Source organism: Homo sapiens, chromosome 17 (genome assembly GCF_000001405.40).
Source record: "Homo sapiens chromosome 17, GRCh38.p14 Primary Assembly".
Lineage (NCBI taxonomy): Eukaryota > Metazoa > Chordata > Mammalia > Primates > Hominidae > Homo > Homo sapiens.
In genome coordinates, this window is record NC_000017.11 from 36,864,253 (window position 1) to 36,886,794 (window position 22,542).

General features: G+C 50.4%; 1 long non-coding RNA gene across 1 annotated transcript in view, besides 1 other annotated feature; it reads right to left on the reverse strand.

Annotated features, from left to right (window-relative positions):
* Nucleotides 1-22,542, reverse strand: part of LHX1-DT (LHX1 divergent transcript) — a 74,988-nt gene that overhangs the window by 2,579 nt on the left and 49,867 nt on the right. The window lies entirely within an intron of this gene.
* Nucleotides 8,545-8,839: a silencer, noted in NCBI's record as "tiled region #13221; K562 Repressive DNase matched - State 9:DNaseU". NCBI's record gives its function as "represses a minimal TATA promoter and a strong SV40 promoter by Sharpr-MPRA in K562 cells {active_cell/tissue: K562}" and the evidence as "EXISTENCE:reporter gene assay evidence [ECO:0000049][PMID:27701403]".

Here is a 22,542-nt window from a genome sequence, read left to right on the forward strand (position 1 = left end):
AACACCATCGGAGAAAGGGTAATGATGAAATTTAACTGCTCCCGATCACACACCTGGGGTCTGCTCGCCGTGGAACCGGGGGGTTCGGCCACATCATCCTTTACTGCTGTGTCCTTGTCTGTGCATTTAAGGTCCTTCCACTGAACCAGAACACACGTTCATGGTGGGGAGCCTGGGGCTGTCTGCCCCACCCCACCCTGCATGGTGCAGAGCACAGACAGTGGGAGGGAGCAGGGCAGACTCTGTCCTAGGAGGCCTTGAGGCCTGTTGGGCCTGGAAAAGGGGCCGTAGGGCTGGATACCCCAGGAGTGTTGCTGAGCTGCAGGGTTACAGAGGAGCTCCAGCCACAGGGCTACTGAAAACAGCATGGGGCTAGACTGTGGTTGGCTAGAATCTTCCTTCCTTCCATTTACCCTTCCTTCCTTCCTCCCTCCCTCCCTCCCTTCCTTCCTTCCTCCCTTCCTCCCTCCCCCCCCTTTCCTTCCTCCCTCCCCCCCCTTTCCTTCCTCCCTCCCCTCCTCCCTCCTTTCCTTCCTTCCTTCCCTCCCTCCATCTCACTTTATGTGCCAGGTACTGTGTTACCTACATGATTGTCACCTGAATATTCTCACTGCTCTTAGAATACAGCACTCTGCTTACCTAATTTCTAGCCATGTCTCCCCACCCCAGCCCCTCCTGTCCCATGACCCCATACCACTCTGCCCACTCGACCCTCCCAGTGCTCTATTCTAGCTGTATTGAAACATTCAAAGTAATTTGCTCTCTCCAGCCTCTGGGCTTTCACGCATGCTGTTCCCTCTGCCTGGAACCCCCGTCTGGCTAACCCCTACTCATTAGCAGGTCAAAGCCGCAGCTTCCTCCGGGAAGCCCTCCCTGACATTCTCCAATCAGCTCCCTTGCCAAGAGCTCCCTGCATCTCCCCTTTGTTGTACGTTTCATCACAGTATATTGTCACTGTTGGTTTAATTGTAAGGCGCGTGAAGGCCCCTGTTGAGGACACTATTCTGGGTCTGGGAAGTTAGCAATGAACAAAACAGACAAAATCCCTGGCCATCGTGAAGCTTATATCCCAGTGAAGCGGGGCAGACGAGGACCATCTGTCTCTTTCAACCTTTGTGGACATGTCACTAAAGGTATGGCTGAGTTTAAACCTGAAAAGGGGCCAGGTGCAGTGGCTCACACTTGTAATCCCAGCTCTTTGGGAGGCCAAGGCAGGTGGATCACTTGAGCCCAGACCAGCCTGCACAACATGATGAAACTCCATCTCTACAAAAAAATACAAAAAAAAAAAATTAGCTGGGCATAGTGGCATAAGCCCATAGTCCCAGCTACTCGGGAGGCTGAGAGGCGAGGATCGCTTGAGCCTGGGAGGTTGAGACTACAGTGAGTTGAGATCGTGCCACTGCACTGTAGCCTGGACAACAGAGCAAGACCCTGTCTCAAAAAAAAAAAAAAAAAAAAAAGGCCAGGCACGGTGCCTCACACCTGTAATCCCAGCACTTTGGGAGGCCAAGTCAAGTGATCACTTGAGCTCAGGGGTTCAACACCAGCCTGGGCAACATAGTGAAATCCCATCTCTACCAAAAATACAAAAAGTAGCCAGGCATGGTGGTGCACGCCTGTGGTCCCAGCTACTCAGGATGCCGAGGTGGGAGGGTGGCTGGAGCTTGGAAAGCGGAGGCTGCAGTGAGCTGAGATTGCACCACTGCACTCCAACCTGAGTGACAGAGGGAGATCCAGTCTCAAGAAAAAGCCTGAAAAGGACTTTTGAGGTAGGTGGGATTACCCTCCCTGTGCAACAGAGAGCCCTCAGGTCACTGGTTAGGGAATAGCAGGACCAGGGTTCAAACCAAGGCCAGATGGGCCCCCTAGCTTGAGCTTCCTCCTTGCTCAGCCTGCCTGGCCTCACTGGCCCCTTTGCTATTCCTAACATGCCACGCATGCTCTCTTGTCCAAGTCTTTGAACATGCATTTCCCTCTGCCTGGAATACTCTTCCTGCTGACAACCTTAGGCTCCCCCCGGTCTCCTTCAAGTCTTTGCTCAAATGTCATTTTCTTAATAAAGTCTTCCCTGACACAACTCCACACACACGCTCCTATGCACCTCATATTCTATATGTTACCTGTTTCATTTTGTCTACCTTTACTAGAGTGTTGGTTCCCTAAGGGCAGAGCTTTTGTCTTTTCTGTTCGTTGTCACATCACCAGTGCCTATCATAGGTGCTCAGTAAATATTTGCTGGGTGAACTGATGGACACAAGAAACACAGAGCTGAATCAGGACGGGTCCCTGCCTTGAAAGGCCTGAGTCTGGCCAAGGGAGACAGTCATTGTCATCTGAGTGAATCATGTTCTAACACAGCAGACTTCCTCCTATCCTTGTCCCCTTACCACCTCAGGACACAGCCCTCTCCCAAGACTCAGTCTTTCTCTGGCACTCAGATTGTCTGTCTATGGGCAGAGAGTGCCCCGATCGGCCCCAGGGAGGGTGAGCTGGGAGGGGCAGGGTGAGCGGGACCCACAGTGGCTGACCTGGCACAGCCGGCACGGTCTCAGTTCTGGAGCAGCCCTGGGGGGACCTGGGGAGAGGAAGGGCAGCAGAGTTCAGGAAACAGAGCCCCAGCCCCAGCCTGCTGATGGCATCGGCTCCTGTCCCCACAGTGCCTGTAAAAGGCCATTCCTCAGGACCCAGGAGTCCCAAATGCCAGTCCAAAACTCCACACCTGACCCACCAAGGGACCTTGAGCAAGTCACCTTCCGTCCCTGAGTCCCAGTGTTTTCTCCCCTACGGATTAGAACTGGCCAGGCAAGGTGGCTCATGTCTGTAATCCCAGCGCTTTGGGAGGTGGGCAGATCACCTGAGGTCAGGAGTTCAAGACCAACCTGGCCAACATGGTGAAACCCCGTCTCTACAAAAAATACAAAAATTAGCCAGGCATGATGGCAGGTGCCTGTAATTCCAGCTACTTGAGAGGCTAAGGCAGGAAAGTCACTTGAACCCAGGAGGTGGAGGTTGCAGTGAGCCGAGATCATGCCATTGCACTCCAGTCTGGGCGACAGAGCTACACTCTGTCTCCAAAACAACAACAACAACAACCACCACCACCACCACCTACACAGATGGCTCCAAACCTTTTCAAGGATAAGGACCCCTCTTTAGAATTTTTTACTGAAGCATCATAAACACACACAGTGATTTTTCACAAAGTTCATCAGCATCTTGACCAAGAAATAAAACATCACTGACTCCCAAGAAGTCCCCTTACGGCCCTTCCCAGTCCCTACTTCCCCAAAAGGTAAAGATTGTCCTGATGGTTAACACTAGATTGTTTCCCCTGTTTTCTGAACCTTGAGGCTCCCTTCGTAACTCTACAAAATGTTCTTTTGATTTTAGCCCCCAAGATGATGCTCACCAGCTGGAGTTCGCACCCATGTTAATTCCCTCCCACATCGAATCAGGGTGATCTTTGTGACCAGTAAAGTATGGCAGAGGTGACAGTATATGGCTTCTGAGGCTAAGTCATCAATGGCAGGTGGCTTCTGCCTTGCTCTATTGGATCACAGCTCTCAGAGAGCTGGGTGCCCTGGTATGAGCCATCCTATGGAGCGCTCCACACAAAAAGGAACTGAGGCCTCCCACCGGCAGCAGGTGGCAACATGCCAACCACACAAGTGTGCCATCTTGGAAGCAGATCTTCCAGCCCTGGTCAGGCCTTCAGATGACTGCAGTTTCCGCCAACATATGACTGTAACGTCACAGGAGACCCTAAGCCAGAGCTGCTGGCCAAGCTACTCCTGAATTCCAGACCCATGGAAACTGTGAGAAATAGTAAATATTTATTGTTGTTTTAAGCTACTAAGTTTTGGGATAATTTGTTACACAGTAATAGATAAGTACTACAGTATTCATTGATTGAGCAATACTCAATGAACCAAGCCCCTTTGGCGTTCAGTCAGCCTTTAAAGGAATTCATTTTTAAAATTATCTGAATAGTATCAACTCACACTTGAATAAAGGACTTTCATTTTGGTCCTTTTGACAAAGACATCGTTCAGGCTAAGGACTGGCAATAACTCCAATGTCCCTGCAGGATCTGAGGCCCCAAGTTCGGGCCAGAGTGTGGAATTAATGTTGACTCAGTTGACCTCTAAAGCTCTTTTTATACGAAAACCCTGGACTCAGAGACTTTCAGGGACCTGTTTGCCAGTCCTCGCTCCTTCCATATGGTTGGTCAATAGAATATGATAGTGAGGAACCCAGGCTTTGGGGTCAAGCAGGTCTGTGTTCAAAGCCTGGCTCCTCCTCTTCCCAATCTATGTGACCTCCTCAAACAAGTAGCTTCAAATAAGTATGCTCTGAATCTCAGTTTCCTCATCAGAAAAATTGGAGAAGAGACGCCTGGCTCCTAGGCGTCGTATGAAGAGGAAATAACACATAGCTTGTCCTTGTGATGAGGCAGCTGTGCTGATCATCAGACCACAGACTGGCTGGGCACTCTCAGAGGTATTGGGAGACTGTTCCCCTCTCACCCGGCCTGCCCTGCGGGTGGCTGCACCCCTCCTTTGTGAGTTTGAAGGGCCAGGTGAGCATATGGCCACATGGCAGGACTTGGATGGAGTGAAGCCTGCTTCCTCTCCCTCGTTAGCATCGCCCGGGGACCTGCTCTCTCCTTAGCAAAGGCCTGGATAACGAAGGCCACAGCCTATTAATTGCGGTGACAGTGATAAAGGAAGAGGGGGAGGCTGCTATTTGTCTTGCCCGTAACCTCTCGCATCATTCCAAGATGAATGAAAACTCATTTTCTGCTTTGATTCAGTCTAATTTCTCTGGGCCCCCTGGGCCTCATGGGGGGAAGGGACTCACAGCCCTTGCTGAGGAGGAATCGCAGGGAGGAGGAGAAAGGGTCAGAGGTCACAGAGGGAGGAGGGTGGGCTCCACTGGGGAACCAAGATCTTGGTGGGGGCAGTGATTAGAGCATTCAGTCATTAAGTGGATGGCGGGCTGGGGCTTACACAGGTGCTGGCTAAGGGCATTCACAAACTAATCTGGTGAAGAGGTGAATGTGCTACCCACTTCACAGATGAGACAATGGTGGCACTTGGGAGAAAATGGCTAGCACAAGGTCACACAGCGAGTGAGGGCCAACATCCAGCTTCAGCAGGGAGGAGAGGCTGGCCAGGGCCCTCGCTGGCTCTTTCCCAGTCAGTCAGTCACTCACAGCATGGTGTCCCACCTGGATGAATGACTTCATCGGCACAGAAGTCCCATGGACGGGAAAGGACCATCCAGCAGGGAAGCTGCCAGCCTACCTGTCCTTTCTCCCTCGGGGACTGGAAAAGGAGAGGGGCCAGGGGATGGGGAATGGACCTTTTTGGCCATCAAGGAACAAAGACTCGCCAAGTAGGGCCTTGTTGGAATTGCCATTTTCTCTGCTGTAAGATGGAGCCAACAGTCCCCGCCTCCCAGGACCACATGGTGGCTGGAGAGGGCAGGTGATGGGCATGTGTGTGAGGGTACTTCACACCCACTACTTCCTCTCCGTCGAAAGGGAGAAGCAAAGCAGTCGTCCCCAGATATTTGACCTGCTTTGTCCTAGGTTAACCATCTCCGGGGGTCAGTCTGCCCCTGAGTCCCTGCACCTGCCTGTCCTGATCTATCACCTGGGTCCCCTTTGATGGTCCAGAGGTCCCCTTACCACCTCAGGACACAGCCTTCTCCTAAGACTCAGCCTTTTTCTGACACCCAGGCCATCAGCCTGTGGGCAGAGAGTGCCCCAGTCGGCCCCAGGGAGGGTGAGCTGGGAGGGGCAAGATGAGCGGGACCCACAGTGGCTGACCTGGCACAGCCAGCACGGTCTCAGTTCTAGAGCAGCCCCAGGGGAGCTGGGGAGAGGAGGGGCAAGAGACTCAGGACCCAGAGAGTGGGAAGGGCCTGGGTCTGTGATTTCCCTGCTAAAGTGGCCTAGCAGCCCCAGGGGAGCCGCATGGACTGTGAAGAAGGTGGGAGATACCCCCAGGCCAGCTGCAGGTTCACAGGAGAAACTCGGCTACGTGTGTCCAATGCGCTTCACACAACATCCTCCCGGGTCTTTGGGCCACAAGGTGGAGGCGCTGTAACTGGGAGGAATTTTGTGATGGTGCAATGCATGAGTCAGCATGGGCTCTAGAGCCCGGCAGCCTGACGTGAGCTGCAGCTCTGCTGTGTGACCTTGGGTACGTTGCTTTGCCTCTCTGGACTTCACTTTCGCTATCTGTAAAATAATCTTCCTCATATGGTTATCAGTTCACTTATGTAAAGCACTTAGAGCATGTGTCTAAGTGGGCTGGGACAGACCTGAGCCTGGGTTGTGCTCTGAGGGGCTGCAGCCAGGCTAGGAAGGGCTGGCGGAGGATGTGCGTGAGAAGTAAAGCAGCTGACTCCACTCGTGTCCCCCTCGCCCCCCACCAATCTATGGCATCCTCCCATCTGCCCCAGATCTGAATTGCAAATGACCTTCCTTTCCCCACCACTCCAGCTGGAGACAGCTGAGTCCAAAGAAGATGTGTGCCTGCCCCTGTAGGGTGCCCTAGCCTTGCTCTGTCTCAAAGGGTCTGCAGGCGGAGCCCTTAGACCAGGGCCCCTTTCCAGGATCCTGAGAGAGTAGGCAAGGCCCAGTTAGAGCCACCTAGCCTGGCATTCAAGGCCTTCACAGCCTGGCCTCACCTTCTTTCTCTGCTCCCATGTCCATCCCCATCCCCTATCACCCATCCCACCCACTTCTCCATAGGCTCAGCCAAAGTCCCATGCTAATGTAGGGAAGGTGGATGATCTTCGCTGAGTGCTTACAGGTGCTTACAGCACTGGGCGCTGTATTACAAGCATCAGCTTGGATACACCTCCTACAACTCCATGAGGCATGTACTGTTGAGAATTCCATTCTACAGATGGAGGGACTGAGACTCAGAGAGGTTACATACCTCTAGCAGGTGGCAGAGCTGGGACACAGACACACAATCACATCTTGCTCCCTCCAGAACCCAGCTCTTAACCATTACTCTGTTCTGCCATGAAGCAGATCCTGCATAAAATATATAGGAGAAATGAAGTCAGGGAGCCAGGACCTGTAATGAAGGAATAAAAGGAGCTTCTAGAGGTAGTCATTCATCCACTGATTTGATATTTACCAAGCATCTACTAGATGCTGAGCACTCAGAGATAATTATAATGATGATGAGAATAACATCAATGGTAGTAACATTAGTGATAGTGGTAAGATAAAAACTATTGCTGACATCTTCTGAGCTCCTACAATGTGTTTGGCACTGTGCTAGGTCTTCTGTTGCAGAACTCTAATCCTTACAGCAGCCCTGCAAGACAGTTATTATTATTATTATCGCCACTTTATAGATGAGTCCACTGAGGCTCAGAGAGCCTGTATCTAAATTCACTTAGATTTCAAGCATCTGAGCAAGAATTTGAACCCCCAGACTGTCTTTGAATAACAACAACACTCATGAGACTGTCTAGCATTTATTGGATACTTTCCAGACAGTCTGCTAAGCACTTAAAATGATCATGTAAGCCAGGTGTCATTATCATCTCTGTCTTAGTGATGAGGAGACTGTGGCTTGGAGGTCAAGTAAACTGCTCAAGGTAATGGGCTGAGGACACAGTGCAGCCAGGATTTGAAGCCAGGTCCACCAATCTGCTCCCATCTCCATCCCCATCCCCTACCTCCCACCCCACCCTTTTCTCCATAGGCTCAGCCTAAGTCCTATACTAATGTAGGGAAGGTAGAAGTCTTCTATTTCCCCACAATGCCCCTCAAGGAAAGGGCTGTCTAGAGTAAGCAGTTTAAGTACAAGGACTCTATTCTCTCTCTTCTGGGCTAATGCAACTGCCTCCTACTGGGACTTCTCTAGTTGCTTCTCCTCCAAACCTTCGTTCATAGTCCGTTGTTACTCTACTGACAGAGGTCCTGTCCTAAAACTCAACCGGTGGCAGAGGCAGCTAACTGTGCACCAAAAGTTCATGCTGCACCTTTCAAAGGGGGCATATATCACTGGAGGGCACCACCCTGCCAGGTCCTACATTTCCCAGAGCCCTTTGCAACTGCTTGAGGCCGTGTAATTACTTCTCGCGGGTGGAATGCAGGCAGAAGTGATGTGTGTTGCTTCTGGGCCAAGTGATTAAGAAGCAACTGTACCTTCTCCACCCTCTCTCTTTCCTTGTCCACCAGCTGGAAGTGGGGGATTCCAAGACCTTCCAAGATTCCTCACTCTTAGGGGTGTTGTGGACTGAAGTTTGTGCCTCCCCCCAAAAAATTGATATTTGTAATTAATATTCATAATCAAATTCAAAATTCCTATGTTGAAATCCTAACCCAATGTGATAGTATCTGGAGGCGGGCCCTTTGAGAGGTAATTATGGGTAGATATCAGGTCATGAGGGTGAGGCCCTCATGAACGGGAATATTGCCCTTATGAAAAGAGGAGACACAGTCTCCCCTGTCCCACTCTGCTCTCTGCGTGTGAGGATACAATGAGAAGACAGCTGTCTGCAAACCAGGAAATGGGCCCTTAACAGACACCAGATCCACAGCAGCTTGATCTTGGACTTCCCAGCCCCCAGAACTATCAGAAATAAATGTTTGTTGTTTAAGTCACCCAGTCTATCTAGGGTTGGTTGTTATCACAGCCCAAATTGACTAAGACGGGGGTGTAAGGAGGCTGGTGCGTCCTGAATCACCATGTGGAAGAAGTGACCCAGCAATCTGGAGCACCCATATTGGACTGCTGTGTAAGTAAGAAGGACACCTTTTGGGGGAAGCCACTGAAATTTGGCGGTTTACTTATTACAGCAGCCAGGCTTACCTAAAGAATAATATATTCACTCCTGGTTCATAATTTTTTTTCTTTTTTTTTAAGACAGAGTCTCACTCTGTCACCCAGGATGGAATGGAGTGGCAATCTTGGCTCACTGCAACCTCCATGTCCTGGGTTCAAGTGATTCTCATGCCTCAGCCTCCCAAGTTGCTGGGGCTAACAGGCATGCACCATCACACCCAGCTAATTCTTTTTATTTTTAGTAGAGACAGGGTTGTGCCATGTTGGCCAGGCTGATCTCAAACTCCTGACCTCAGGTGATCAGCCCACTTCGGCCTCCCAAAGTGCTGGGATTACAGGCATGAGCCACTGCAGCCGGCCCTGGTTCATACTTCTAAATGGGCTCATCCTTCTAAATGGTTTCCTCCATCTGAAGAATAAAGCTTAAACTCCTGGCCAAGGTCTATAAGACCTTTCACAATCTGGGTTCCGCCACCTTTCCAGTCCCATCTCCCACCCCCACCTTTAAAAAGAAAATGTGTTCAATCACAGAACTGCTCTATTCCCTGACACAGCATGGTCTTCATACTCGTGGGTGTTTACATGGCTGACCCTCTGTCTGGAACACTATCCCGCTCTTCTCTTTAGAAAATGTTGATTCAGCTTTCAAGACCCGTTTTCCATATTACCTCCTCACTGAAATCTTCCCTTTCTGTAGCAGAGGACGTTGCACCCACAGAAACCTCCACAGATGCACTTATCAGAGTGCATTGTAATTATTTGTTCCTATATCTGATTGTCTGACCAGACTGTGGAGTCCTCTGGGGCTGGACTTGTGGCCCATCAAGTTTTGTATCACCAGTGCCTTACAACATAGAAAGTGCCCAGCAAAGACATGGATTTATGGATAAACTGGTAAACAACCAAAAAGTCTAAAGTCTATGCCCCAAGTTCTGCAGGGCTTAGCCTCAGGCATAAATCCCTCCACAGAGATGAAACTGGGAAGTCTGTTTCCTGCCCTTCAAAGACAAAGTGAGTCCTGGCGCAGTGGCTCACACCTGTAATCCCAGCACTTTGGGAGGCCAAGATAGGCGGATCACTTGAGGCCAGGAGTTCAAGACCAGCCTGGCCAACATGGTGAAACCCTGTCTGTACTAAAAAAAAAAAATAGAAAAATTAGTCAGGCATGGTGATGGGTGCATGTAATCCCAGCTACTTGGGAGGCTAAGGCACAAGAATCGCTTGAACCCAGGAGGCGGAAGTTGCAGTGAGCCAAGATCGTGCCATTGCACTCCAGCCTAAGTGACAGAGCAAGACTCTGTCTCAAAAAAACAAAACAAAACAAAACAAAAAAAATAAAGTAATACAAGCCCAGGGCCCCAGAGGGAGAAGCAATCCTGTGTCCTCTCTTGTCTAAAGTCCCTGAAAATTCCTCCCATGGCCTGAACCCAGATGACCCCTTAGGGCTCATTCTTAAGACAGGGGAGAGGATTGAGGAGAAATGACAGGTTCTAGACTTAAGCTGATTCATTCACCTGCTTCAAGGCCTACTGAGAGCAGAAGGCCTGGCCTCAGCCTCCTCCTGAATAATCATGGGCCGTCTCCAGGGTTAAACAGGCCTGGGTTCGAGTCCTGGTCCTGCCATTACTCATGGGACTTGGACATGTTGATCATATCCCTGTTTGAAAATAGGAAAATACCACTCTCAGGGTGGTTGTGAAGACCTACAACATTTCTTATTGGTTAGGTCTTACATTTTCTAACCTAAGGATGGGCCTCCCAGCCAGGACCTGGGATCCAGGGCATCACAGTCCCAGGACATCCTGTCCTCCTCCCTCCTATCCCCACCTCCACCGCTGCTGAGGCCCTCTGTCTCCCCAAGAATCTCAGCTGCTTCTGCAATGAGTTCACACTGGATTTTTTTTTCTTTCACCAAGTTGTGAGTGGGGACATAGCTGAGACACTTGGGGTTTCAAGTAAAGAAAGAGTCTGATGGGTGCAGCACACCAACAGGGCGCATGTATACATATGTAACAAACCTGCACGTTGTGCACATGTACCCTAAAACTTAAAGTATAATAATAATAAAATATAAAATAAAGAGTCTGAGACTTGGAGAGATAGGGAAGGGATGGAATGACAAGGAAAGAAAGGAAACAAAGGTAAGACAGGAAAATTTAAAAACAGAGCTGGCCAGGCAGGGTGGCTCACACCTGTAAACCCGGCACTTTGGCAGGCCAAGGAGGGCAGACTGCTTGAGCCCAGGAGTTTGAGACCAACATTTAGCCGGGCATGGTGGCACATGCCTGTATTCCCAGCTACTCCCAGCTAAGGTGGGAAGATTGCTTGAGCCCAGGAGGTTGAGGCTACAGTGAGTTGTGATCATGTCACTGCACTCCAGGCTGGGCGATAGAGCAAGACCCTGTCTCAAAACAACAACAACCACAAACAGAACCAAAGACCAAGACACTAAGGAACACAACAGAGACAGAAAGATGAAGACAAAACAGAGAAAAAGCAAGAAAGAGAGAAGCAGAAGTGGAAAGGTGCAGCCATGGAGAAAGTGAGTCAGAGGGGAAGGGGAGGGGGCCGTTGACAAGCCGGGCAAGGACAGGGACAAAGTGAAGGCCCCTCGGCCCCCAGCTGAGCACGGCTTTCAGCCTCAGAGGGTTCTGCTGCTGAGAAAGCAAAGTCTCTTCTCCCTCATTCGAATGAATTTGATATTCAATCAATGAAGATTAACTCGCCCAAGGTAAAGGGGTTTTTCCATCTGTAAGGAAGTCGAAGACAATTATGCAGATGAGAAAATTACCCTGAGATGAGGAGCCTCTTGTATATGATAATTATGTGAAGGGTGGACTCCCACACTGATTAGCATATCTCCAAGACCAGACCCAGATGGAGGAGGCAGGAGGAGCAGAGGTCACCAGGAATCCCCCTCAGAGAGGTGGGTTGGAGATGTCCCAGCCCCAGTGGTCGTCTTTGGAGAAGAGGACACGTCGCCACCATCAGTAAAGACTAACTGGAGCCTTGTTCCCACAGTGTCCATCGAAGCTGCCTGGGCCAGAGCAGGGCCGATCAAGCTTTAATATGAGTATGAAGCCCTGGAGATCCTCCTCAGATGCAGGCTCTGATCTGGGGGGTCTGGGTGAGATTCTGCCTTTTTTTTTTTTTTTGAGACAAAGTTTCACTCCTATTGCCCCGGCTAGAGTATAATGGCACAGTCTTGGCTCACTGCAACCTCTGCCTCCCAGGTTCAAGCGATTCTCATGCCTCAGCCTCCCAAGTAGCTGGGATTACAGGTGCCTGCCACCACACTCGGCTAATTTTTGTATTTTAAGTAGAGATGGTTTTTCACCATGTTGGCCAGGCTGGTCTCGAATCCTGACCTCAGGTGATCCTCCCAAAGTGCTGGGATTACAGGCATGAGCCACCGCACCTGGTTTTTTTTTTTTTTTTTTTTTTTTTTCTGAGACGGAGTCTCGCTCTGTCGCCCAGGTTGGAGTGCAGTGGCACAATCTTGGCTCACTGCAACCTCCACCTCCCAGGTTCAAGCAACTCTCCTGCCTTAGCCTCCCGAGTAGCTGGGACTACAGGTGCCCGCAACCATGCCCGGCTAATTTTTTGTATTTTTAGTAGAGACAGGATTTCACTGTGTTAGCCAGGATGGTCTCAATCTCCTGACCTCGTGATCTACCCGCCTCGGCCTCCCAAAGTGCTGGGATTACAGGCGTAAGCCACCGCACCCGGCCAGGTTCTGCATTTCTAAGAAGCTCCCAGCTGATGCCAATGCTGCCAGTCCACAGGCCACACTTTAGAGGTCCTGGCTCTGTGGTTCTCACCTCTGGTTGCACCCTAGTCGCCTGGGGAGCATAAAAAGCAGACCAATGCCTGGGGCTCACTCCAAACCAATTCAATTAGAACCTTTGCAAGAACAGCCTGAACACTGGAATTTTTTTTTTTTTTTTTTTTGGTGAAAAAAACAACGATTCTAATGTACAGCCAGGAATGAGAGCCCCTGACTTGAATGGTGGCTGGAATCCTGAGAAGTCCATGGATCTATTCCAAGTCTCCAGGGACACTCAGGCCCTAAGACCCTCAGAAGCCAGAGGCCTGGGCCGGAGCCAGGGCAAGGGCTATGGAAGAGGCAGGGAAGAGCAAAAAAATGGACTGAGTAACCCAGCTTGGGAATGGACTGAAGACACCGCACTGGGTGTGCTGGGGAGCCTTGAACCACAAAAACCAGCTATGATGTGTGAAATACCCGCTGTGGACTAAGCCCTGCACATGTATTCTCTGTGACTCTTAAATGGGGTTATTTTTAATCCCAATTTGACAGATGAGGAAGTTAGGCTCAGAGAGGCAAAGTGATTTCCCCAAGGTTGTAGAGTTGGGATTTGAATCCAGCTGGGTCTGACCCCCAAAGCTCAGGCCATTGCCTCCCACCCACTGGGGAGGGGCCCTGGGGGTAAGCTTATCCAAGGAAGTTAGTGGCTGGCCCTGGACCCTAAGGCCTGACTGAGCTAGAGGGTCCCTCCGGCCTGCTATGCCAGAGGAAGGCCGGCCTCACGTGATGGAGGGGAGTGAGCAAGGGCTTGGAAGTCAAACAGCCTTGGGTTCAAATCCTGGCTTTTATGAGCCTTGTAACCTCAAGCAAGTCATTGCCCTTGCTGAGCATCTGACGGGCTCCTCCTTGGCCAATAGGGATGATAGGACCAACTTCACAGGGTTGCTGGGAGAAGGAGATGAGGTCAGGTGTCTCATGTGTGTGCCATGGAGTTTGGGCAGGGTTTTCCTCTTCTGAGGGAATGGAGGTTGGCTGAGCCAAGGCTCAAAGGCTCTAGGACTCATCAGAGCCCGCCCACCTCTTCGGGGCTTTGGCAGGGTTGCCACAGGCTCCTCCTCTACTCTGATGCAACACTGATGGGAACCTAGGGCTTTCCAAATGATGCACCGGGCCTGGGTCCAAGCCTGTCTGAGTCTGGTCTGGACTCATCAGCAATATCCTACCATACAGACAGCATTGAGTGTGGCCCCTCTGCCTGGGATACCTTGGGGCATGAGCCCCAGCATCTCTCCCATAGCAGATGCCCCATTACCCGTTGGTGGGCAGGGGTGGGGAGCTCTATAAAGAAAGGCAGTGGGCTTGGAATCTTCCGGCACTAGCCAGCCTTCCTGTCCTCTCCCAGGAATTCCCCTTGGAGAACCATCCTGTCTCCACGGCTGCTGAGTAAGGGTGTACCCCACACACGTGGCCCTTGTCCACTCACCAAAGTGTGCACTCTGCCTGGAAGGGGCTTCTTTAGTTAATTGCCGTGAAAGCACCCTGTGTGGCATCAGGGAGGAACTTGCCTTCTGAGGGCCTCAGTCTCCAGCTCTGTAAAATGGGGACAGTAAGGGGTGCTCAGTGAAGGTTCAAGACCTTCTCCCTCTGAACACACAACCTCTCCTCACCACCAACCCCACCCCCAGCACCCTTTTGGCTACCATTCACTCAAACAAACAGAAACCAGGGGCTGGGGTGTACTGACTCAGAGGTGGGGGGCGCCCCAGTCCTCACCCTGTGTTTCTATTTCCATATTGTTCCCCACAATCTTCCCCTCCTAGCCAGGCCAATGGAGGATGAGGATGAGGAGAGAAAGAAGGGAAAAGAAAAGGGGGCTACAGAGGTGGAAGCTGGGAGCTGCACCCATGCCCCCATGTCTCTGTGAATGCGTTTCTCTGTTTTCTGTATCTGTGACTCTGTCCTGTCTCCGTCCCTCCCTCCCTCCCTCTCTCTCTCTCTGTCCATGGATGTGTTGGTGTACTTGTCTGGGCATCTGCGTGTGTGTAGAAATGTATCACTGTAACTTCGTGCCTGTGCATGCTGTAGTTGTGTGTGTCTCCCGCTCTGTGTGTGTGTGGGTGTGTGAACCCCTGTCTCTGCACGGATGTGTGTATAGCTCTGAATGTGTGTGTGTGAAGCAGGGGATTGTGTCTGTGTACATGTGTGTCTGGACTGGAGTCTATCGGGTGTGTATGTTTGAACATGTGTATGATAGCATCTATGGGTGTATCTGAGTGTGTGTCTGCGTGGGTGCATATCAATGGTGTATGAAGATCTGAGTGTGTCTAGGTTAGTGTGTATCAGTGTGGAGGGGTGAGTGCCTGGGAAGGGATGAGTCAGAAGTAGGTATGTGTATCTGCATGCACCTATGTGGGTGTGTGACAGCGTGTGTGGGTGTCTAGGTGTATCAGCATCTGGGAGAGAGGGGTTATCAGCATGGAGGGTGAGTGTGTGCATATGATTGTGTCTATCTTCTCAGTATATGGGATGTGGGGTGTGTTTGTGTATCTGTGTCTGGGAGGAGTGTGTTGGTGCGGGGGGATGTGTATCCTATGTGAGACTTGTGAGCGTATATTAGTGTGCTGGGTATGAGTATGTGTGTCTCTGTACGGGGGTGTCAGTGTGTGGAGTATGTGTGTGTATCTCTGTGTAGGTCTGAATGGGTGTGTTTCAGCGTTTGAGGAGTGTGCATATCTGTGCACAAATCACTGTGAGCGTGTCTATCAGTATCTTAAAGTAGGGCGTATGTGTGTCTGCGCAGGGTGTATGGGAGTGTGCGGCTGTGTCTGTGTGTGTGTCTCTGTCTGTGTATCTGTGTAAGTCTGCACCTCTCCAGCTTGGCTGGGCCCCGGCACTGTAAATCCATCAACTCCACATGATTTTGTCAATTCTGACAGCTAACTTCAACATGACGACAAATCTGGCCCCAGAGGATATTAAGCAAAGACACATGAGCCTATAATTTTCTGCTTGCACGTGTGAGATGCTATAATAATCAAAAGAAAATGAGTTTCTAACTACCCCAGCTCTTTGTGCTGCTGCCTTCATGCCGGCTGCACTAATTGAATCACCCGGCACCACTGTATCAATGGTAACTTGGGTATTGGGGGGTAATCAGGCGTGTGGGGGGGACCAGCTTGGAGAGGTGCGGGGGCTTTTGTGAAGGTCCCATCTGCCTCATGCACCAAAGCCGCCAGCCGCCCGCCCGCATTTGGCTGGACAAGGGAGTGACTGAAGGGCAGCCCTCACCAAGGGGAAGGCCTGGGAGGGGATGCCTGGGGGAGGGGGCACCTGTACCCAGATGCTGCAGCTCAGGCCCCTTGGTCCCGGAAGGAGAATTGTACAAAAATAATAAAGATCCAGGCTTTGGAGATCGGCCTACCTGGGCTCAAACCTGGCTGATGGCCCGTATGTCATTTGATTTCTGGGGCTTAGTGTCCTCATGTAGAAAGTAGAACAGCCAATCTACCTCACAGGGACATACACACAGATTAAGCACCCTCAGTTAGTTGCCTTGCAGAGAGGAGGCACTTGGAAGTTGTCACAATTTTTACTGTTACCAAGTATTGACAGTGCTTTCCCATGCCTTATCTGCTTGTCTCTTCACAGTGTGAGATAAGGCTCATTATCCCATTTCATTCCTGAAGAAACAGAGGCTCAGAGAAATTAAGTAACTTGGCCACTTGGGAGAGACACGTCTTTCTCTACCTACAATTGGAGGGGCTTGATCAGGATGTATGTGTGTTTTCTAAGAAGGAGGAGGAACAGTCCCTTATAACTTCTAGAAGTCCCCCTGACAGTCCTGTGACTCATCAAAAATCATAATCACTCACCTTGAGATGGCGGTTGCCAGGGCCGCTTACTGTGTATTAACTCATGTAACCCACACAATGAGTTTGTGAGGTAGAAACACAATTATCCCTGTTTTACAGATGAGAAGACTGAAGCACAGGGAGGCTAAATAACTCTCCCAAAGGTCACGTGGTTCGTAGGTGGTAGAATTGGGCTTCAAGCCTGGAAAGTCAGTCTCCACAGTCCTCATTTTGATCTATCATTTGTCCTTCCTCTTAAAGATCCAGTTGTGCCCCACACTCACTTTTGCCCCTCAAAGTCTTCTAAACTGAATCCCACATTTGTCTCTAAGAGCTGTCCTCTCTGTACCCAAGGGACCATTCTTCCCGACGTCAGGCTGCAGAGTGGAATGGAAATCCCTCCATCCCCAACCTCACTGTGCACCCCCACATCAAGGCAGGAGATTACCCCATCATCTTGCTCTCTAGCTCATGCCTTCCACTCTAGCTCACCACTTCCAATCAAATAGCAAGTGTTCACCAAGCAGCCGTTTATATTCCTGGACCTGGTTGGAGAACTGAGGGCTTCAAAGAGGAAATTATTTTAACTCCATACTTTTGTACAACAAAGCTTGAAGCAGTAGAAAGAGCACAAGCTTTGGAGACAGGCAGATCTGAGTTCTGATTTTGGCACTGGCAGTCACTAGCTGGGGTCCCTTGGGCATGTGGCTGAACATCTCTGTGGCTCAATTTTCTCAACTATAAAATGGAGACATAGTTCCCCCTAAGATCAGAAAAAGGGCAAGTATGTCTGCTCTTATCACTCCTATTTCACACTGACCTGGAGATCCTGCCCAGTGCAATAAGACAAGAAAAAGAAATAAAAGACATACAGATTGGAAAGGAAAAATAGAAACCATCTTTATTCACAGACAACATGATTGTCTTCATAGAAAACTCTAAGAATCAATCAAAAATAAAACTAGAAGTATTAAGTTCAGTAAAATTTCATAATAGGTCAATATTCAAAAATAAATTATATCTCTACATGCTGATAATAAACAATTGGAAGTTGAAATTAAAATAAGAACATTAATCCCACCTCACAAGATTCCTAGAAGGAGTCAAATGAAGTAATATTTATCTAGAAGTATTGTGCTTGTGTGCTTCCTGATAAGCTTTCTTGAGAGGGGAAGAAAGAAAGGCTGAAAGAGAATCACACCCAACACCCATCCCCTCCTGTCTGCACCAAAACCACAGAGAGGGAGTATTTCTGATACATCCTCAATGGTTGTGCCTATTAAAAATCTTAGGGCTTTATTTATCCACAATTTGGGAGAGGCGGGACCTGGGGAGATGGTTCATCAAAATCTGGGGCTCCCTGGGGAACAAGTTGTCATGAACACATGAGCATTGTCCACCATGGTGGTCTGCCCAGAGAGGGACAGAGAGCCACAGCCTGTGTGCACTCCTCCTCCTGTCCCTCCACCTGCTCTTTTGTCTCATCTTTGTATTATTCTGCATACCTGCTGAGCTGGGCCCAAAATGTACAATGCAACCTGAACAAATCTTAGGCCATTTGAAGCCTGGGTCACATCCAGAAGAAACCCTGATAGTCTCCAAAAGCATTGATTGGCAATGAAGCCTTTGCAAAACTCCCAAACAAGCGGCAAGGTGGGAAAAGCAACTATGTCGTACAACAGACAGAAACTCTCTCCAAATCCTCTTCAGGCCTGCCTTTCCCCAAAGTGCCATAGGTCACTACACTCCCCACCCCCTTTTTTCTTTTTCCTTTTTCTCTCCTAAAACTCCAGCTCTGCTCTCTCTTGCCTCCACCTCTAGTTGACTGGATCGATTCTATTCTGATCCAGCTTTTGCTGCTAACTTTATGCTCTTTCTTCAGTGAAGCATCTTCCACTTTGTATCACCTTGATCAGCTCAGATGTGGGAACATGGCAGGAGAAGAAAGGCTGTAAATATTCACATCTTAATATTTTTGTTCCTGCTTCATCAGAAGCCTTCAAGTGGCTCACAGCCTTGTAGGAGGAGGACAAGTATAGATGGCTACACCACACCACAGTGACATTCTCCTCAAGGCTGGTCTGAAGCACTATAGATGCAAAGTGGAGGTTCAATTCCTGCAGCAGGTGGGCATCAGGAGGAGGCGACTTTGAACCGGGGCTTGAAGAATGAGTAGGTATTCCCCTGATGGGGGGACAGAGAGGAACGGGGAGAGGAGGGAGCAGCTACACTTCACCTCCTCACTTTGTATCCAGTATCTTCTTTTATTTTTGAGATGGAGTTTCGCTCTTGTTCCCCAGGCTGGAGTGCAATGGCGTGATCTCAGCTCACCACAACCTCCACCTCCCGGGTTCAAGTGATTCTCCTGCCTCAGCCTCTCAAATAGCTAGGATTACAGGCATGCACCACCACGCCCAGCTAATTTTGTATTTTTAGTAGAGATGAGGTTTCTCCATGTTGGCCAGGCTGGTCTCGAAATCCTGACCTCAGGTGATCTGCCCGCCTCAGCCTCCCAAAGTGCTGGAATTACAGGCATGAGCCACCGCACCTTGCCCAGTATCTTCTTTACTACCCGCCCTCCCACCAATAGTCTTGCGAGGTGGGTATACATGAATATTCCCATTTTACTGAATTGGAGACTGAGGCCCAAGAGGAAATGAACTCGTCAAGGTCACCCAGAGAATAGTTGGAGCTGGTAGGACTTGAATTCTGGACTCTGTGGCTTCAAAGCCCTTTTGGTGGGCAGGTGAAGGGAGAGGAGAGAGAACTTCAAACAGCCTCTGTGGTGGGAGGGTGGGGGTGGAGTGAGGAGGCTCTGGTCACCGGGACATACAGGTGAGACCAGTGAGGTGCAGTCAGTGTGTACAGCACGTCATCATTTGTGGCAGAGGCAGGAAAGACTATACATATTTGTTTATTCTTGGATATAAGGTCTCTGGAAGGACACCCAAGAATCTGGGGACATTGGTTCCCCTTGGGATAGGAACTGGGAGTTGAAAGAGAGAACCAGGACACCGGGGTAGAGGTAGAGGGAGACATTCCACCCTCTCTTTTATGCTTTTTGAAATTTGTTGTTGTTGTTGTTTTGAGATGGAGTCTTGCTCTGTCGCTCAGGCTGGAGTGCAGTGGCATGGTCTCGGTTCACTGCAACCTCCGTCTCCCGGGTTCAAGTGATTCTCCTGCCTCAACCTCCCGAGTAGCTGGGATTACAGGTGCCCGCCACCACGTCTGGCTAATTTTTGTATTTTTAGTAGAGACGGGGTTTCACCGTGTTGGCCAGGCTGGTCTGGAACTCCTGACCTCAAGTGATCCGCCTGCTTTGACCTCCCAAAGTGCTGCAATTACGGGCATGAGCCACCAAGCCAGGCCTGTTTTTGTTTGTTTGTCTTTGAGATGGAGTCTCGCTCTGTTGCCCAGGCTGGAGTGCAGTGGCACTATCTCAGCTCTCTGCAACCTCCGCCTCCAGGGTTCAAGCGATTCTCCGCTTCAGCCTCCTGAATAGCTGAGATTACAGGCGTGTGCCACCATGCCCGGCCAATTTTTTGTATTTTTAGTAGAGACAGGGTTTCACCATGTTGGCCAGGCTGGTCCTGAACTCCCGACCTGAAGTGATTCACCAGCCTCAGCCTCCCAAAGTGCTGGGATTACAGGCGTGAGCCACCGTGCCTGGCCACTTTTTGAAATTTGAATCATGTGAATGTGCTACGTATTCAAAAAAAATAAACTAAATTGTTCTTAAAAGAAAGTAAATTTAAAAATAAACATTACACAGTCACATTAAAATCCAAACTAAAACAGTCCCCAGCCTCTGACCATGTACTGGAGGGTCACCTGGAGTCTCGGCGGTAGCCCCCGTTGGGGCCTGGTTCCGCTGCAGAAGGGATATGTGTGGCGTCTAAGTCAGCGGCAGGGCCCTCGGCTGGCTGCCACCAGGGCCCGCTCCCCCTCCAGTATGATGGGTGAGGGGTTGTCAGACGGAGGAGCAGTGGGGGCTGCAGGAGAGACGTCCGAGATGGGACGGGACATTTGGGCAGTTGGGGCCGATTTGTCGCCATTTTCACGGGCAGACTTGTGAATTAAGTGGCATGAAATTGAGCACAGACCAGGCTCCCCCCCAGAGACGGGGCAGCCCCCGCCCAGGAGGGGAGAAGGCAAGGGGGCGGGAGCGGGAGGGGTGGCCCCGCTCCACGCTCAGCTGCTTCTGGGTGCAGATGGAGACAGAATGGAAGGGGGAGGGGCTCAGCTCTTCCTCCCGGGCCCCTCCTCACCCTCAGCTCTCCTCCGACAAGCAGAGGGCCTGCCGGACCCCAGCGATGGGCTAGCCTGGACTGGCTCACTTGTGCCCAAGCACCCCTAGGAGTCAAGGCTGGGGTGGCAGCCCGACCAGACACCCATTCAGGGGGCCCCTCAGCATCTCTCTGCTTATCTCTGCGTCTTTCTGCTGCCATTTTTGCTCAGTACTGAGAAATGACGACTAAAGGGAAGCAGGGCCTGACGCTGCTTCTCTGGATGGATAGAGAAGCTTTTGTGCCAGGAAGAGTTGGAGGCGGCAAAGCCTCCAGTGGGAGATACGAGGCTCGTGGGTTGCGGTTTGGGTTCTAACCGGGTGGCTTTGAGTGAGTTCCTTATCCTTTCCTCAGCCTCCATCTCCTTATCTGTAATAATAATGATAGCAACCCTGGGCCTGGTGTTGTTCTAAGTGTCTTGTGTACTCTGCAGCAATTCATTCCATCGTGATAATACCTTATCCGGCAGCACTGTTATCAGTTACTCCCCCGTTTTACAGATGAGAAAACAGATCATCCGGCCAGTGAGTGGTGAAAATGGGATTTTTGTTTAACACGCTGTCACCTCGGGGAGTCGAGGGGAAGATTAAATGAGATAATGAACATGTATAGTTTACCCACGATGCGTGTGTAACAAATGAGAGCTGCTGTCATCACTGCTCTGTCTGCCTCTCGGCAGGGGACAGGTAGCTCAAATGCAAAGTGTTTTCAGATCACCCAGTTTACATTTCATGGACTTGACAGACGGAAGACGAAGGCCCAGGGAAGAAAAGTGACTTGCACAAGGTCACTTGAGCTGGGCTAGGACTGAACAGACAGCTCAGTGACCTGAGTCCTTGCTCTCCAGGCCCCTAAGGACATCTCGGGGCTCTGCAGATGGGCGAGGGCCTACTTTACTTGTCCACGAGGAGAGGCACAGCCTGGAATTTCAATTATCCTGGGCACCGCAGGCTCCGAGTTCCTCCCCGGACGGGCGTGGGACCTAGCCCTAGCCTGGGTGGGGACGACGAGAGAAGACAGCCTTGGTCTGCCAACCTGGGCACCTCCCGCTGGACAGAGCTTTGTCCCACAATTAAGAAGGATGTGTTTGCCTCAGCGCCAGGCCCAAAGAGCCCACAAAAGCCACAAGGAGCCCTGCAGGTGGCCAGGGGGAGGTCAGGCCCCATGGTGCTTAATAGGACCTAATCTCCGCCAGTGTTGTCGGAAATGAAAATGAAAAACAGCCGCGATTTTGTGGTTTAAAAATTAGCATGTGTGCCTACGTCGTAAGCCCCTGGCCTGCATTACCATACAGATTCATCCCAGGCCCAGCACGCGGCCAAAATATGTAATTACACACAGGCTCGGGGTAGAAAAGTTGCTCTCCTCATTGCTATCTATATAATATGGATTTTAAAAAATGAGAGCTAGGTCTGAAATGTTGTGAGGGACTTACTTCATGAGGTATGCTGCCCATGGCATTTGAGGAGAGGGAGGGTCTCACCCCCTCAGCAGTATGTGATGTGGGGGGCACATGGATATGCCAAGTTCAGAGCTATCTCCCCGGACTGGGGGAAGAGAACAAGGAAGGGAAAGCCTTGCTATGAAGGATGGTGCTCTCTATGTCTGGGTCCCATTCAGTGCTCTCATTTGCACAGAAAGCCTGAAAAGTAGGTATCTTTGTCTTCACTTGAAAGATGAAGACACTTTGGGAGGCTGACGTGGTTGGATCACTTGAGGCCAGGAGTTCAAGACTAGCCTGGCCAACATGGTGAAACCCCGTCTCTACTAAAAATACAAAAATTATCTGGGCGTGGTGGTGCACACCTGTAATC